Source organism: Homo sapiens, chromosome 14 (genome assembly GCF_000001405.40).
Source record: "Homo sapiens chromosome 14, GRCh38.p14 Primary Assembly".
NCBI lineage: Eukaryota > Metazoa > Chordata > Mammalia > Primates > Hominidae > Homo > Homo sapiens.
The window spans coordinates 56,095,072-56,113,326 of NC_000014.9; the positions used below are offsets into that span (position 1 = coordinate 56,095,072).

The 18,255-nt window shown below is 40.6% G+C and overlaps 1 long non-coding RNA gene across 2 annotated transcripts; it reads right to left on the reverse strand.

The window, feature by feature from the left end:
• Positions 1 to 757: 757 nt before the first annotated feature.
• LOC105370513 (uncharacterized) lies at positions 758 to 14,781 on the reverse strand. Of its 2 annotated transcripts, none has more exons than XR_007064184.1 (3): positions 3,549 to 3,623; positions 3,177 to 3,439; positions 758 to 864 (listed from the first exon to the last, which is right to left on the reverse strand). It is a non-coding gene; the product is annotated as an uncharacterized LOC105370513 (long non-coding RNA). The 2 variants fall into 2 exon arrangements; XR_943901.3 differs by lacking the exon at positions 758 to 864 and adding an exon at positions 13,225 to 14,781 and having other exon boundaries at positions 2,982 to 3,439; positions 3,549 to 3,760.
• Between the last annotated feature and the right edge of the window lie 3,474 nt (positions 14,782 to 18,255).

An 18,255-nucleotide genomic window follows, 5' to 3' on the forward strand; every position in this document is an offset into this window, starting at 1 on the left:
GCCCTTCTTAGAAAGTGGCATTGAAATAATGTATGGGAAAGTCCATTTTGGAGTGAGGGGCTGGGGTTGTGGTGGTTGGGATTTCTGAGTGTATTTATGTCCTGTGGCTGCCCTGACAAATTATCACAAACTGGGTGGTTTTGAACAACAGAAATGTATTCTCTCACAATTCTAGAGGCCAGATGTCCATAATCAAGATGTTGGCGGGGCCATGCTCTCTCCAAAGTCTCTAGAGGAGAGTCCTTCCTTGCCTCTTCCAGCCTCTGGTGGCTCCAGCATTTCCTTAGCTTGTGGCTGCATCACTCCAATCCCTGTCTTCTCCTCTTCTTATAAGGACACTTGTCATTTGATTTAGGGCTCACCCAACTAATCCAGAATGATCTCAAGATCCTTCACTTAATTATATCTGCAGAAATTCTTTTTCCAAATAAGATCACATGCATAGGTACTGAGGGCTAGAACTTTAACACATTTTGTGAGGGGGGGCACAACCAACCCACTGCACTGGATTTCTAAGCCTCAAGACATATGGATCATCATAGCTTACTATGAATTAGTCTAACCTAATAACAGATTTGTACAAAGCATAGCAAGGGTGATGCTCTGCTAACTAAAGGAGAGCTGTCTTGGAGCTTAGGATATTTGGAGGAGGGGAGATGAAAGTGGAGTACCCCTGGTGATACATTCAGGATCCTGAGAGAAGTTGGGACCACTGTCCTGGCACTGAAAGAGAGGTTGGGCAGGGGGAATGAAAAGTTAAAAACAAACTTCACCTTCCTTACCTTCATTCCCAAGGATCTGATAATTGCTCCTGTCATGGCAACAGAAAGTCACTTGAGTGCCTCTTTGTCACACTTCTGCCACCTGTACCATAAGGTTGATCTGTTACTTAAATGTAAAATGAGAGACACTGGTCTCCCTGAAGAACAAGCGTACATTTGAATCAGGTAGCCAACCCCTGTGGCAGGTGGGACTGCATCTTCACATAATTTATATATTGTCAGGGGAGTTCCTCACTGTGATGAACAGAAAGCAAGGGTGTGTCTGGTTCTTGAGCCTGTAGTAGGATGCTCTCTAATAGACCACCCGTTCTCATGCCATAATCCTGTTAGGAGCTGCAATGAACACAAAGCACTATTGAACCAGGAATGCACGATCCCATTAGGAGCCTGCCCCCTGCAAAGTTCGTCAGCAGAGCCTTAGGTGCCCTCTGGAGTTGTTTTTATTGGCTTTGACACCTCTGCCTATTTCTAACACTCCTAGAATAACTTTGAAGTCCAAAGGGCATTTGATTGATTGATTGATTGAGAGACAGGGTCTCACTCTGTCACCCAGGCTGGAGTGCAGTGGCACAATCTTGGCTCACTGCAGCCTCAGCAGCCTGGGCTCAAGCAGATCCTGATCTTCCCACCTCAGCTTCCTGAGTAGCTGGGGTTACAGGCATGTACCACCATGACCGGCTAATTTTTATTATTTTTTTGTAGAGATGGGGTTTCACCATATTGCTCAGGCTGGTCTTGAACTCCTAGCCTCAAGTGATCTGTCTGCCTTGGCCTCCCAAAATGCTGGGATTACAGGAGTGAATCACTGTGCCTGGCCCCAGAGGTCATTTTAGAAAGCGGGGCCTGGACTCTAAAGCTCTTGCCTGTTCTAAGATCTATGCTATACATTCATTTATTCTAAAGAATAGCTAATGGGTAGTGAACATTCTAAGCACTGTTCTAGGTGCTGAGGAGGCATTATTTCTTTAATTCTCACAAGAATCTTGCAAGTTAGGGAGATCATTGCCTCCTCTGTTCAGGTTAAGAAATGATGATCAGAGAATTTAGGCAATTTGCCCAAAGGCATATTGCTGGTACGTAGAGAATCCAAGAATTAAATAAATCCAGGTGTCTAACTGCAAAGCCCGTGCTGTAGAACGCCTGGAGGGTGACAGGGGTAAGCTGTTTGCACAGGAGAGAGAAGTGGAGAGGGAACCTGGTAAAAAGAAGTCTTTTTCTAAGAAAGAAGGGCTCAAAAACCTAAAAACTGAGACCAGGGAATTTTCAGACCATGTGACAGGGACAATCTGTCACTGCTTAGCACCGTTGCTCCCGTGTCCTCTAAAACACTGATCAGACAGAATAGATCTGCCCGTGAGAAGGTAGTGAAAGCTGACATATGGAAATGTTTCAGGTCAGCTTTTACTAGAACTTCTGGTTTGAAATCAGGATCGCTTAAAACACACACACACACACACACACACACACACACACACACACACGACAGATGGTTGTTTTCAGGAAATCTTCCCTTATGAAATGGAATTCCGTGTTCTTAATTAACACAGAGCAAACCCTGTTTTGGGTGTCTTGCATACCTAGCCACAATTTTTCCCTTTTTATAAACATAAGATGGGTCTCTCCACAGTGATACTGTGATGAGAGTGGCCGAGCTTACTAAGAGGGATTTGAATACATATAGAAATACAAATCAGTAGAGACCCTTTTACCACTTTAATAAACTGCTATGAATAATTCTGAATCTGAGACCACTAGCTATTTAACATGCCCAGCGATAATGGAATATGGCTCTCTGAACACTTCTAAATGATTTCTATTTCAGAGTTGGGAAACACCAGAGAGACTTTTGTTGCTCCAGTTACAAAAAAAAAAAATTTCTTCTTGGGAACTCCAATTCTAGAAAAGTAATGGATAACTGTATACATGTTGGAAGAGGAGAACCATGCAAGCCTTTTTGACACGTAATATATAAACACCAGTTCTGGGCCCTGCCCATCAACTCATATAAGAAAAATATAATTTAAAATGCCTACTTTTCAAGTTATTCCCATGAATAATTATGAAGGGGGCCATATTTCTTGTTCATCAAAAAATAATTTTTTTTCACATGTTAACTCCAGGAAAGTTCAAATAATGTACCTTTCTGCTTGAAAGAAAGTGTTCCAGATACTACTGCCAACAACAAACTCTCCCAAGATATAGCAGCTTAAAACAACCACCATTTTAATAAGCTCATAGATTCTGTGGGTCAGGAATTTGGATAGGGCACAAAAAGGATGTGTTCATTCTGCTCTGGGACATCTGAGTTCTCAGATGGAAAGGCTTAAAAGCTGAGAGTGACTCAGCGGCTGGGGGCTGGAATCCTCATACCTGGAGGCTGCTTCACTCTCATACCTGGGATAAAAAGGTGGCTTGTAGAGTAGGGCTGCTGACCAGAGCACCTCCATGTGGCCTCCCCATGTGGCTCAGCCTCCTCACAAGCATGGTGGCCTCAGGGCTCCAAATGCATGTGTTCTGGTAGACCAGATAGAAGCTGAATGTTGTGTTGTAACTCATAGAGTTACTTCCACCATGCTGTATTGAACAAAGGTGTGAAAAGCCCACGCAGATTCAAGGTGAGGGGACACCACCTGTTGATGGAGAAGCGGCAGGTCACACTGTAAAAGATAAACGTGAGATGGGAGTTATTGCTTCAGGTGACACATATATATTTTACCCAGGATGCAGGTAACAACAATGGTAATAATGATAGTAACTAAATCTTACAGTGCTCACTATGTGCTGGACACTGTTCCACACCATTCACCTATATTCATTCAATTCAGCCTCGGTGGAAACTGGGATACAAACAGGCTAAGTAACTAGCCCAGTTATACAGCTAGAGAGCAGTGAAACCAGGCTTCAAGCTCAGGCAATTCAGTTCCATTTGCTGTATGCTTTAACTCCTCCATAGTGCCTCTCCAGTCCAATGAAGATACCTTAAGTATAAGGAAACACAAACTATAAAGTGACATTTACTTCTAGGCTATACTAGGGAAAGGGGACAGATCTTTATTGATTATCCACCACATGTCAGGTATTATGCATCACACATTACCTTTCTTAATTCTCCCCGTAACCCTGTGAGGTAGGTATTATTACTGTCATTTTACAGAAGACAGACTTGAGGCTCAGAGATGTTAAGTAACTTGAGCAAAGAACAGAGCTGTCAAATGTTGGCCCTGAGATCTAAAGTCAGATCCATCTGACTTCAATCTACCTGCTCTTTCCCCTTTCCATAGCTACAGTCTGCCTCCTCTTGAGGGTTTTTGTGTCAGGGTCCACTTGAATCCTAGCTCACATTAATTCACTATGGAATCTTTCGAGTCTTGATAACATGGCATTTTAGGAATGTGGCTGGATGATTCGGAGCAGCTGAAATCCCTTGTTTGATTATGGAGCTTTGGGGACTAATAGTGCAACATTTGTGTTTGTCTTCGTAAATTCCTGCTGGGCGTGAACTGTGACTTTTATCTTAGGTAATAAGCCTGAATTCTGGAAGGACTGTCTTTTTTCTCTTTCTAAGACTATGACTTACTGAATACCTGACATTTCCAAGAATGTATCCTTTGCCCTATCAGACCATTAAGTAAGCAGTAACTGCTCTGAAAAGGTCTGTGCTTTGCTTTGTCTTCAGCTATAATTTGATAGACACTCAACCATAACATTATGATTATGAAGCACTTAGGCAGGACTGTGCATCTGCAAGATGCTGTCTAAATATTTTCTGATCTCGTGCTTCTTCCTGTAAGTCTCTAATCCCAGCTGTGCTGGGTCCTTAACTGATTCTGAGAAAGTTCCTTGATCTATCATGGAAGAAAGAGACAATTTGATTTGGGAATCCAGGGATATTTGTACACTCTTTTTATTCCGTTAATGTGACTGACAGCTTCAGCTCTTGCGCCAGAGAGCTCTCTTTCAACTTGCTTCCTGGGCTGACAACTGATGTTTTAACTTGCTCATGACCTGTGGACTCAGAGGGTTATACTGCTTGTCCTTTTCTTCAACGACAAAAATGGCACCAAATCTATCATTGCTTCAAGTCTGACACTGTGCTTTCCAAGGCTAAGATTCAGTGGACTTCCCTAGACTTTGTCCAGAGAGAAAGTTGAGGGTTTTCAGTTATTTTTACTCTTAGGAAGCTATAATGACATTATTTGGAATCACATCTGTTCCTAATGGGATAGAATTTAATGACGGGAGATCAGGTAGAGTCACAAAGGTTTTAGATAGGTACAGAATTCACCAATGCAATATTCAGGCATCAATACACATAGGAAGCTAGTGAGTGAATGATATCTCTTATCAGGATTCAAAAGCCGTTTGGATGTGTTTATCTTAGTTCACTTTCTAACACAAAAACTCCTTGACAAGGTGCCAAGCCCTTTTCATCTTAGTGTAGGCTCACTGCCTAGCACATGGTAAGATTTTAGTAAATCTTTGTCGACTTGTTCAGAATTGTCTCAGAAACTTGCTTACAGGAATTTGTTTAAACTTGGAATCCATGTCAGAGAAATTTAAGGAAGAAAGGGCTGAATTTTTTATGTGTGGCTCAAACCCTTCAACTCTCCGGCCCAGTGCTTTCCTTTTGAAATCATCCTTAGCATTCAGTGGGCTGGAGTGTATTACCTAGTAGCTGTGATTTACTCATTGTCCTACTGGGAACCTTACTTAGAACTTACCTAATCTCCTTGAGGGCTGCAGAACTGCTCACGCAGTGCCTAGCACATGCAGTGGACGCTTACTATAATTTGCTGAGTGACTGCAGTTACTGAACCATCCATCTTACGAGGAAAAGCTTTTCTATTAAGTTCCATCTTGGTCACAGAAGTTACTCATCAAATCCCATTCTGGATGAAACTGCTGTTCTTTGCAAATACTTAAGATATGCATGCTTTGGTGCTTGCCTTCAATTTCCTTCAGAGAGCACCAGAGTGGGTGGAGGCCATTCCTTTCTATTTTTTGAGGCATTACTAAATGCAGTATTCATCCAGATTAAAAATATGCACATAAAAACAGAATTATCTTAATCTCATTATAAGAAAAACAAACACACAAGCTAGTTGAAGTAAAGATAAATGTATTGTAACTGTCAAAAAATCCTATGAATCTAATGATACAGCTGGGGACAGGTGGGAACTTAAATTTCTTCAGGCGGATAATTCCTCTTGGTCTTTCTCAGTTTATTGTCTTCACTTCTCTCTGCAGGTCAGCTCCATCTTCCCTATGGAAACAAACTTCTATAGGTCTTTTAGGATCTGCTTCCCTGTAGCTTCAGCTGCATTTAACTTTGGGATGCTATAAAGCCAATCCTAATATTAATTCTATTCGACCTTATGGCTCTTAAGCCTAAAATGTCAATTTACCCAATCTCTATGTTTCAATTTCTGAAATTTCTGAAAGAGGATTTGAATGGTCCTGACTGGATCATTTGCCCACTCTTGGTCCATTTACCAAGGGCATGAGTCATATTCCTTCAGAGTCCTTAGCAGGAAAAGTTCTCTAAGAAGAGAGTTTGGACAAGGGAAGATGATGGACATATCTAGAACAAGAATCTTCCAAAATTATCAAGGAAATCTGACTTTGGAGGGAGATATTTCTGATTAGATTACTTGTCATGAGAATATTGAAAATAAAAATGATAAAAATTAGCCTCACAGACTTTGTACCTAATACTTTACTTTTTATTGCTAAAATACATCTTTATCTCCAAATCTGCTATTTCCTTTCCAAAAATTATCTTTAGAGGATAATTTTGTAAACGTTGACCTTGTAGGTTCTATGTGAGAAGCCAAACAACAAGGGTAAATCCTTTGAACATTTCTTGTTGCTTCTGGTAGTTTCATTTGTAATGACTATCTGGCCTAAATTAAAGTGAGGTGCGGGCAAGTGGAAATCAAACTCCAGGGAAAAGATTGGAAAAGCTGGGGATACTTTTGAAGTTTGTGAAGATGAAAGAGATTGTAAGTAGTCTCAAACCTTTCTTTGATAATTTACTCATTTAAAATCTGCTTTCTTCAAAGGCAATACATAAATTTATTGAAGAATTAACTTTGGAAAATATGGGTAGGCTTACATCTTAAAGATTATGATATTGATTGATTGCCTAGAAATGACTATATTTGATTATTTAAAAATTTTTAAATGGTCCCATTGTAATTTAATGTAATTATGTAAAATAGACAATGTTAATACCCTAGTAACAGGGTATTAACAGGCTCAAGTTCTCAGTTCTGCCCCAAATATCCCACCTACACTAGACATGTTTACAGTGCCTGCTAGCCCAGAGCAGCTTCTAGTGAAGCAATTTCCACTTGAGAGAAGAGAGAGAGACAGAGACAGAGAGTGCACACAACAGTGCATCATTGGCGGCCACGTGCGGTGCGGTGGCTCACGCCTGTAATCCCAGCACTTTGGGAGGCTGAGGCGGGCAGATCACCTGAGGTGGTCAGTTCGAGACCAGCTTGACCAACATGGAGAAACCCTGTCTCTACCAAAAATTCAAAAGTAGCCTGGCGTGGTGGCACATGCCTGTAATCCCAGCTACTCTGGAGGCTGAGGCAGGAGGATTGCTTGAACCCAGAAGGCGGAGGTTGCGGTGAGCCAAGATCGCACCATTGCACTCCAGCCTAGGCAACAAAAGTGAAACTCTGTCTCAAAAAAAAAAAAAAAAAGAAAGAAAGAAAGAAAAAAAAAAAAAAAAGAGTGCATCATTGTCAGCCATTTTTTCTTTTCTTTTCTTTTTTCTTTTTTTTTTGAGACGGAATTCCACTTGTCACCCAGGCTGGAGTGCAACGGCATGATCTCTGCTCACTGCAACCTCCGCCTCCCAGATTCAAGCTATTCTCCTGCTTCAGCCTCCCGAGTAGCTGGGATTACAGGCAACTGCCAACACGCCCAGCTAATTTTTGTATTTTTAGTAGAGATGGGGTTTCACCATGTTGGCCAGGCTAGTCTTGAACTCCTGACCTCAGGTGATCTGCCCGCCTTGGCCTCCCAAAGTGCTGGGATTACAGGTGTGAGCCACCGCACCCGGCCGGCAGCCATTTTTTTCTACCACTTGACTCTTCCTCACCATTATAGCTGATTGAACCAGGAGGGACAACCCAGCTCAAGGCTAGCCTATAACCTCTGACTTGATGTTCCAAAAAAACGTGTTGAGCCAATCAGATTCCTTCTCTCAGGAATGTGAACTTAGAAATGTCAAGAGAAGGAATTCAGAGAGCATTATTAGGAGCAGAAGCGGAACCGTTTGTTACAACATAGAGGAATTTAATTTCCAGTGTGCTCTGCAAATATGAGCCAATAAAGCAAGTCTGACTATAGAGAGGAGGTGGAGAGCAGGAACATATTAGAAATCAAGCATCTGCTGATAACTGGACAGCCCACTGGCCCCTGGAGCTGCCCCAGTTTCTTTTTCTTTTCTTTTCTTTTTTTTTTTTTGAGACGGAGTCTCGCTGTGTCGCCAGGCTGGAATGCAGTGGTGTGATCTTGGCTCGCTGCAACCTCCGCCTCCCTGGTTCAAGCAATTCTCCTGCCTCAGCCTCGCGAGTAGCTGGGACTACAGGCGTGTGCCACGAGGCCCATAAATTTTTGTATTTTTAGTGGAGACAGGGTTTCACCATGTTGGCAAGGATGGTCTCAATCTCTTGACCTCATGATCCTCCTGCCTCGGCCTCCCAAAGTGCTGGGATTACAGGTGCGAGCCACTGCCCCTGGCCTCTTTTTGATCCAGGTGGAGACTTACAGCAAAATCTCCCTTTTCTTGAAGTATCACGAGTGACTCTCTGTTTATTGTGATTCAAAAGACGTCACACCACAACATCATCTTATCTAGAGTTCATGTAAAAAGGCTAAGGACTGCCAACTTACATTAGGCAATGGAACTTGATAATTTGATATTCAGGTTACTGACATTGATCCTTTTGATAATGAAATTTGAGCAGATTTGGAGTTAGCAGTGTTGTAAAGCATTATGTGCATGTTGGCCTGCTTTCGTGGAGCCAGAAGTTTGTATCTCTCCCTCAACCATGCTGATGTAGGCACTCTCGGCAGCTGGCTATGGACTCAGCTACAGAGGACACACTCACCAGCAGACAACAGACAAACCTGTGTTGCTCAGAGGTGACTGGACCATTCCAGTCTAGGGTCTCTTAAGAACAGATAGGATGATGATTAGGATGCCTTCCCAGTTCCTGAACAAGCAGCATGGTTCTTTGGCAAGGCCATAAACTCTTGCTTAGTGTACAGAGTCAGAAGAGCCCTGAAGTTAAAGAAGGTTTTTAGTCACCCTATGCATAATAGAATTACTCTATAGCTAGGCCAGAAGTGATCTGGTGGGGGAGTTGGATCTGCCAGTCGCTTTTGACAGTGAGGACACAGAATGCCTTTTCCACTGAGAGTGAGTGAGTGTGAGTGTGAGTGTGAGAGTGTGTGTGTGTGTGTGCACGTGCGCACACACATGCACATGGTGCTGAGGCAGCAGAGCAGTGAGCAGAGATTGAGCCTTTAAACACTGGCCCCCACCCAGAGAGAAACAGCTCTCTTGTTTGCTCAGCGAGCGCTTTGGGTACATCAACTGGCCTCAAGGGCTTGAAGTTAGCCAGGTGCAGTGGCCCATGCCTGCAATCCCAGCAGTTCAGGAGGCCAAGGGGGGCAGATCCCTTGAGTCCAGGAGTTTGAGACCAGCCTGAGCGACACGGCAAAATCCCATCTCTATAAAAAATACAAAAATCAGCCACGCCAATAGCCCCAGTTACTTGGGAGGCTGAGGCGGGAGGATTGCTTGAGCCCAGGAGATCGAGGCTGCAGTGAGCTGAGATCGTGCCACTGTACTCCAGTGCCTAGGCAACAGAGTGAGACCCTGTCTCAAAAAGCAAAACAAAACAAAAACCCAAAAAACAAAAAAGGAGCCTGGAGCTCTTACTGGAGGGTTGACTGGCACAGTCTGTGATTCCTCTGTTTATAATACCTTGTGAATAGGTATCTCTGGCCCTGTGCTTTTAGTTACTTTGGGACAGAAAGGTACATCTAGTTAGCTAAATGGTCCTCGATGCTAGAAGTGCATGTGTGACACAAACTGATGTGCATGATAGGCATATAAAAGGACATTAAGATAATATCACCAATAGGTGTAAAGTAAAATTTTAAGAAGTAGTTAATGTCATAGCATATTGTTAAAAGGTGTGGATTCTGGAACCAGGTATTTTGAGTCTAAAGCCCAGCTCCTACCACTTACTAGCTGTAGAGCTTTGAACAAGGCACTTAAATTCTCTATGCTTCAATTTCTTTATCTAGGTAATGAGGATGTGATGCTAATAGGGCCTACCTCATTCAGTTCTTGTGAGGATTAGATATATTATTTGTGTAAAGTCTGTACTATAGCACCTGGTACATAATAAACATTCAGTCAGTGTTAATGATGCTACTATTACCTACTGAACTTCAAGAATAAGGCACAGAGAACTGAAGACTTGTTGAAGGCTCTATGGTGATGAGCTGCAAAGTTAAAAGGAACACAGGTTCCTGTTTGACACTGGTTCTTTTATAACATTCTGCAATAAAACCAAGCTTTGCATTTCTCATGCCTCTGGGAAGGAAGTATAATGTTACACATACTTTATTATCAATTACAGGTGGAGAAAACTAGAGAATAAAAAGGGAAATTTACACTCAAGGTGATGTCCTCTCTGGTTTGCCTTTTTGTGGTCACTGAATTGTTCTGACTCTGTTGCCATTCCCCTTAATAGCATCCAGGAGTAGAGTCCCTTAGCAACCCTCCAGGCAGTGAAGACCCTTCAGAGGCGCTAGAGTATATGACTAAACTAATCCCAGAGCCCAGCACTAGGCCTGGCACAGAGTAGACACTCACTGAATAATTATTTTAAATGCATGAATGTCGATTTTGTTCCTGTTGTTTTGACATCATCACCTCCCATCTCAAAATCTTCAACAAGACCTCTCTCCTTCCAATTCAAATTACTCTCCTATATTTTAATCTTCTTGATCTAATCCTTCACCATTCTTTACTTCCATTAATGTGTCTTCTTTGGCTATGCTCTCCCATTTTTATCCCACACATAGTGCTAAATATAGCTCTATAACATTTTTTGTTTACACTCCATTCTTCCCACTTTCTCTCCATTGGAATGATAGTTGTAGTAGACAGTTTCAAGATGTTTCCCAGCCCACATCCTTTTTTCTCTAAAAATTGCTCCCATAGTAGCTATGTTTGAACTTCATGCCCCTGACTGACCCTTAGCCTTAGCTGATGGGACCAGGACTTGTCACCTGGCCCAAGGTACACCAATCAAATTCTTTGCCTTTAGAACTGGAATTGGGATTGCGAGTGGCTAAGCAGTTTTTGTTAGTTACATGAGCTAAGGACATGTAACTGCGGGAGCTATAGGGTGGCCCCCCTCTGACAGGTGCATAAAGAAACAAAGATGACTGCACAGAGAGAAGATAAAAGTGAAAACACAGAAAGAAGAAAAAGAGGAAGAAAAAAAAGACACAAAGAGAATCCATGCAGTCTCAGAGGAAAACAGAGATCAACTACCTTAGTTCTTGGTCAGATTTTCCATTTTCTGGTTCTGTCCTTGATGAAGCTCAAGTGCACTTCCTGTCCTTCTTTTCCATAAACTACCTACATAAACTTGTTACAAATTCCTCATCTTTAAGATAGGTTAAATGGGTTTCTGATACTTGCAACCAAGAATGCTTAATAAGACTATATTAAATAGGTCGGGTGTGGTGGCTCATGCCTGTAATCACAGCACTTTGGGAGGCCGAGGTGGGCGGATAGCCTGAGATCAGAAGGTCAGACCAACCTGGCCAACATGGTGGAAGCTCATCTCTACTAAAAATACAAAAATTAGCCAGGCGCGGTGCTGTGCACCTGTAATCCCAGCTACTTGGGAGGCTGAGGCAGGAGAATCACTTGAACCTGGGAGGTGGAAGTTGCAGTGAGCTGAGATCACTCCATTGAATTCTAGTCTGGGTGACCGAGTGAGACTGTCTCAAAAAAAAAAAAAAAAAAAAAAAAAAGACTATGTTAAATAAAGGGATAGTGTAGTTTATCTTATTTAATCTATGACTGAGTTACAAACCACCCCAAAAGTATTTTGTTTTGCAGTAATAGATAACTGATACAATCATTATCCTCAAAAGCCGCTTAATAACATCTCTAATTGTGAATGAAAATGTATGCTTAGAACTATAGACATTTCAACTTAATATCCATACTTTTTATTACAAAAGATGATTGCCAGAAAGATTATAAATTTTAAAATGCCTAGAGGAGAGGGCAAGGGATTTAATTTTTAAGACTAAAAAAAAAAAAAAAGCTAGCTTGTAGCATCTATTGGTCTAGACGTAGAAGAGGACACATTTAATAAAATGTTCATTTCATAGAGGAAATAAATTGGGTTCTTTTCTCTCATAAATGAATATTTCTTTAAATGGTAAGTGTTGGAGCTTAGTTAAGATTTCTGACTTTTCTGTTGTGTATTTGTAGCTTGCTTTTGGTCAACAGCAGATCTTTCTGGCATATTGACGTTAGCCAATCAGAACACAAGAACTGAACACAAGAGGGAAGACCTCTTTGTGTAATTGACCAGTGACTGAGCAAAGAAAAAGGTTAATAGGAACTTACATTTACCAGGCGGGTGGATGTTTTGTAAATCAACAGTTTTGATTTTGTGGGCCTTAAAGTGTTTAATTCTCCCATTGCTATGATTCAGCTGCAACCTTGGCTTTAATGCTTTTGAAATAAATGAAAAATGTCATTTTATCTTATTATTTATCTTAAGGGAATAGTTACAACTTCTGCCTCCTAGCTGGTGCACTTTCCTACCTTAATTGTTGACTGTGGGGGTCAGTTCCATCTGGGCAGAGCTGTGTGTCTACGTGCCCTTGGATTTTTCACGTGAACTAGCACGTGGTAATGGAGATTGGGTGGCTCTGCTTCATGTGTTTATTTTGCAGCTAAACACACCTGATTGCTTCACATGTGCAATGATAATGGCGGCATTTAAAAGAATAATAAAATGGTAAGAATCAAATGAGTGCCCTTATTGCACCCAAGTTAAGGTCAAATGGATACTCACGGGCTAGTTGAAGATGATTGAAACATTAGATCAAAATTTTAGAGGCAGCTTCCTGACATAAGCTGATCTTTTAGTATTCTCTCACAATCATGCTACTGTATAGTACTCTATAGTTTAGAAAGCATTCTCATTTGGATCAATTTCTTATTTCAATTCTGAGATTCTAGTTGTCACAACTAGAACATTTCACAACTAGCAGGAAAGCTACAGATTATGTGGACTTTACCAGCCAGATTTCCACACCCTCCCTATTGCATAGCTTTGCACTGTCCCTCATTCTGGGATCAGGATTTTACCTCCAAAGTGTGACCACTGGGAATTCTGGTTTCCTGCTGTCTTACTTGCTGCTGTATCACTTGCTGTATGTATCACCAGGCCTTCAAAATAATAGATACTAAATAAATATTTATCACATTGGCTTATTATTACAGGGCTGAACATACGAAGTACAGGAAGCTTTCAACACATATTTACTGATGTGTTATTTAATAGTTCTACATTCTCCCTCACACAATATTCTTCCTGTAGTTTTATTCAAAAATAATAATACTGTACACATGTTAATACTATGCAGTATGCAAATAACCATCACATGCATTACCTCATTTGATTTTCTGAAAAATGTTGTGAGATACATAGCCAGGAAGTGTTACCTCACAGGTGGGAAAACTGAGGCAGGCAAAAGGAAATTTAGTAATGTCAAACTGAGGTCTCTGACTCCTATACCAGGCCTCTCTCCACTCTATTAGAATCCCGTTCTCAGGCTTCAGGTTAACTTCTTACTTGAGTCCCTGTCTCATTATTAAACAAGTGTAGGGAGGCCCTCTTTCAGGACCATCTCACTGTTACAAGTTTGTCTCTGTTTGCAATAATTCTGGCCTTTGGCTAAGAGTGTAAAAATGAATCCTTTTATTAAGAAATCATTTATTACGCAGCTTTTAAAATGAGTATCTTGATTTCAGCCAAGCATTTTATGGTATCTCATGATATGTATGTAGGTAAAATTGTTAGATGATTTTATTTTTTACTGTTTCAACAACTATTCCCAAATCGCCAGAGAATTCCAATATTGAAGAGAAACAAATCAGATTTTCCCATCATTACCCGAAAGCCCAGTATAATCTGACTCCTATCTACCAGTATAATCTGACTCCTATCTACGTCTTCAACTTTTCTTATATGTCTTTCCTGCTCATTCAGTAAGCTCCAGTAGCATGGGTTTCTTTCTGTTCCTAATATATGCCAAGCTCATTCCCATCTTAGGGCATTTGTACTTGCTGTGCCTTCTGTATGGAATATCACCGTTCCTTCATATCTTGCACAGGTGACTCTGTCGTCATTCATTCATCTGCTCAAAGGCCTCCTTTAAGAGTCTTTTCCTGGTCTCTGTGTTAAGTGAAAAAAGTTAGCATAGTAGTATATATAGTGTGCTGCCATTTCTGTATATTTTCTTAAATATTATTTGCACAATCATATACATACACAGAGGATAATGCTGGAAAAATACACAAGAAACTGGGAATGGTGGTTTCCACCAGGGAGGAGAATAGTAGGTTTAAGACATTTTTTACCCTTTGGTACTACTGTCATTGCTTACCATCTATATGTACTACTTATTGAAATAATTAAAAGCTCTTTAGCAGAATGAGAAAAAATTCATTGAATTGACTGAAACTAACAATTTGGAAATAAGATAGAAATAAATATTTAATATTTCACTTAGATTCAGTAATTTAGTTGCACAGGTTCTGATAAGGTAGACCCTTCTTAAAAGCAATTCATCTGACAAAAATCCAAGATTTTATTAACTACGAGCTCAACCATTTTTGTTTTAAAAAGTGAATGCAGGCCGGGTGTGGTGGCTCATGCCTGTAATCCTAGCACTTTGGAAGGCTGAGGTGGGCAGCTCACCTGAGGTCAGGAGTTCAAGACCAGCCTGGCCAACATGGTGAAACTCCGTCTCTATTAAAAATACAAAAATTAGCCAGGCGTGGTGGTGTGTGCTTGTAATCCCAGCTACTTGGGAGGCTGAGGCCGGAGAATCGCTTGAATCTGGGAGGCAGAGGTTGCAGTGAGCCGAGATCGTGCCACTGCACTCCAGCTTGGGTGAAAGAACGAGACTCCATCTCAAAAAAAAAAAAAAAAAGTAAATGCATCCACCCAACAGCAGCAGAATGCACATTCTTTTCTAGGATACACAGAACTTTCTTCAGGATCAATCACCTGTTAGGTCACAAAATAAGTCAACACATTTAAGAAGATTGAAATAATACCAAGTATCTTTTTGGACCACATTGGGATGAAACTAGAAGTCAGTAGCAGAAGGCAAGTTGGAAAATTCAAATATGTGGAAATTAAACAACATGCTCTGGAACAACCAATTCGGTCAAGAAGAAATAAGGGAAATTAGAAAATAGTTTGAGACAAACAGAAATGAAAACTATCATACTAAAACTTATTGGATTTAGCAAATGCAGTACTAGGAGGGAAGTTTATAGCAATACATACCTACATTAAAAAAGAAGGAGGGGCCGGGTGCGGTGGGTCATACCTGTAGACCCAGCACTTTGGGAGGATCCACTAGGTGGGTGGATCTCTTGAGCTCAGGAGTTGGAGACCAGCCTGGTCAACATGGTGAAACCCTGTCTCTATAAAAAAATTAGCTGGGTGTGGTGGCACAGACCTATAGTCCTAGCTACTCAGGAGGCTGAGGTGGGAGGATCGCTTGAGCCTGGGAGACAGAAGTTGCAGTGAGCCAAGATTGTGCCACTGCAGTCCAGTCTGGGTAACAGAATGAGACCCTGTCTCAAAAAAAAAAAAAAAAAAAAAAAAGAAGGATCTCAGATCTCAAATAAGCAACCTGATTCTATACCTCAAGGAATCAGAAAAAGAAAAACATACTAAGCCCAAACTTGGGAAGAGGAAGAGAATAATTAAGTCAGAACAGAAATAAATGAAATGGAGAATAGGAAAACAACAGAAAAAAAATCAAAACTAAGAATTGGTTTTTTGAAAAGAACAAATGAAAAAAGATTCAGATAAAATCAGAAATGGAAGAGGAGACATTGCAACTGGTGCCACAGAAATAAAGAGGATTATAAGGGACAACTATGAACAATTATACATCAACAAAGTGGGTAACCTAGAAGAAATAGATACATTTCTAGAAATGTAAACTACCAAGACTGAATCATGAAGAAACAGAAAATCTGAACAGACCTGTCACTAGTAAGGAGATAGAATTGGTAATCAAAAAACTCCCAGCAAAGAAAAGTCCAGGATCAGATAGCTCCACACGTGAATTCTTGCAAACATTTAAAAAATAACTAATGGCAGTTCTTCTCAAACCCTTCCAAAAACAATTGAAGACAAAGGAACATTTGCAAACTCATTTTGTGAGGCCAGTGTGTACCCTATGAGATAGTCTGGATATTTGTCCCAGCCCAAATCTCGTGTTGAATTGTAATCCCCAATGCTGAGGGTGGGACCTGGTGGGAGGTGTTTGGATCATGGGGGCAGAGCCCTCATGGCTTGGTGCTGTCTTCTGGATAGTGAATTCTCGTGAGATCTGCTCATTTAAAAGTGTGTGGCACCTCGGCTGGGCGCAGTGGCTCATGCCTGTAATCCCAGCACTTTGGGAGGCCGAGGCTGGTGGATCACTTGAGGTCAGAAGTTTGAGAACAGCCTGGCCAACATGGTGAAACCCTGTCTCTACTAAAAATATAAAAATTAGTTGGGCACGGTGGTGGGTGCCTGTAGTCCCAGCTACTTGGGAGGCGGAGGCAGGAAAATCTCTTGAATCTGGGAGGTGGAGGTTGCAGTGAGCTGAGATCGCACCACTGCACTCCAGCCTGGGAGACAGAGCGAGACTCCATCTCAAAAAAAAACAAAAAAGAAAAAGAAAAAAAGAAAAAAAAAAGAAAAAAAATGTGTGTGGCACCTCCTCCCCCCCAACTCTCTCTCTCTTTTTTTCCTTTCCTTTTCTTTTTTTTTCTTTGTTTTTTGAAACAGGGTCTCACTTTGTCACCCAGGCTGGAGTGCAGTGGTGTGTGATGAAGTATGATTTGTCCCTGAGATGCAAGGATGGTTCAACATATGAAAATCAGTCAATGTGATATTAATAGAAGGATGAAAATCACATGATCATCTTAATAGATACAGAACAAGCATTTGAAAAAATCACATGATCATTTTAATAGATACAGAACAAGCATTTGAAAAAATTCAGCACCCTTTCATAGTAAATACACTCAACAAAATAGGAATAAAAGGAAATTCTCTTAACATATTAAAGGCAGCATATGGAAAGTCCACAGCTAACATAATACTCAATGATGAAAAACTACAAGCTTTTCCTCTAAGGTCATAAACAAGGCAAGGATGCCCACTCTCGCTATTTCTATTTAACATTGTACTGAAACTCTCAGCCAGAACATTTAGGCAAAAAAAAGATATAAAAGGTCTCTGTTAATAAATTAGCTCTGTTCTCAGGTAACATGATTTTATACATGGCAAACCCTAAAGACTTCAGAAAATAACTGTTACAACTAATAAATGAATTCAGTAAAGTTGCAAGACACAAAAATCAACATACAAAAATCATTTGCATTTCTCTACACTAACAACAAACAATCCAAAAAAGAAAATAGAAAAACAATCCCATTTACAATAGCATCAAAAAGGATAAAATACTTAGGAATGAACCAAGGAAGTAAAAGACTTGTACACTAAAAACCACAAAATATTGCTGAAGGGAATTGAAGATACATAAATAAATGGAAAAATATCCGATGTTCATGGATTGGAAGACTTAATATTGTTAACATGTACATACTAACCAAAGCTACATATTCAATGCAATCCCTATCAAAATCCCAACGGCAATTTTTACAGAAATAGAAAAACTGAATCAAAAATTGATATAGAACCACAAAGGAGAAGTTAAAACAATCTTGAGAAAGAAAAAGAAACCTGGAGGCCTCACACTTCCTGATTTCAAAACATATTCAAAGCTACAGTAACCAAAACAATATGATACTGGCATAAAGACAGACATGTAGATCAATGGAACAAAACAGAGAGCCCAGAAATAAACCCATTCATATATGGTCAACTGATCTTCCACAAGAGTGCCAAAATTACAAAATGGGGAAAGTATAGTCTCTTCAACAAATGGTATTGGGAAAACTGAAGATCCACATAAAAAAGAATAAAATTGGACCCCTATTTTATATCATACACAGAAATAAACTCAATAGATTAAAGACTTGAACATAAAACCTAAAATATAAATCTCTGAGAAGAAAACATAGGGGAAAGTCTTCATG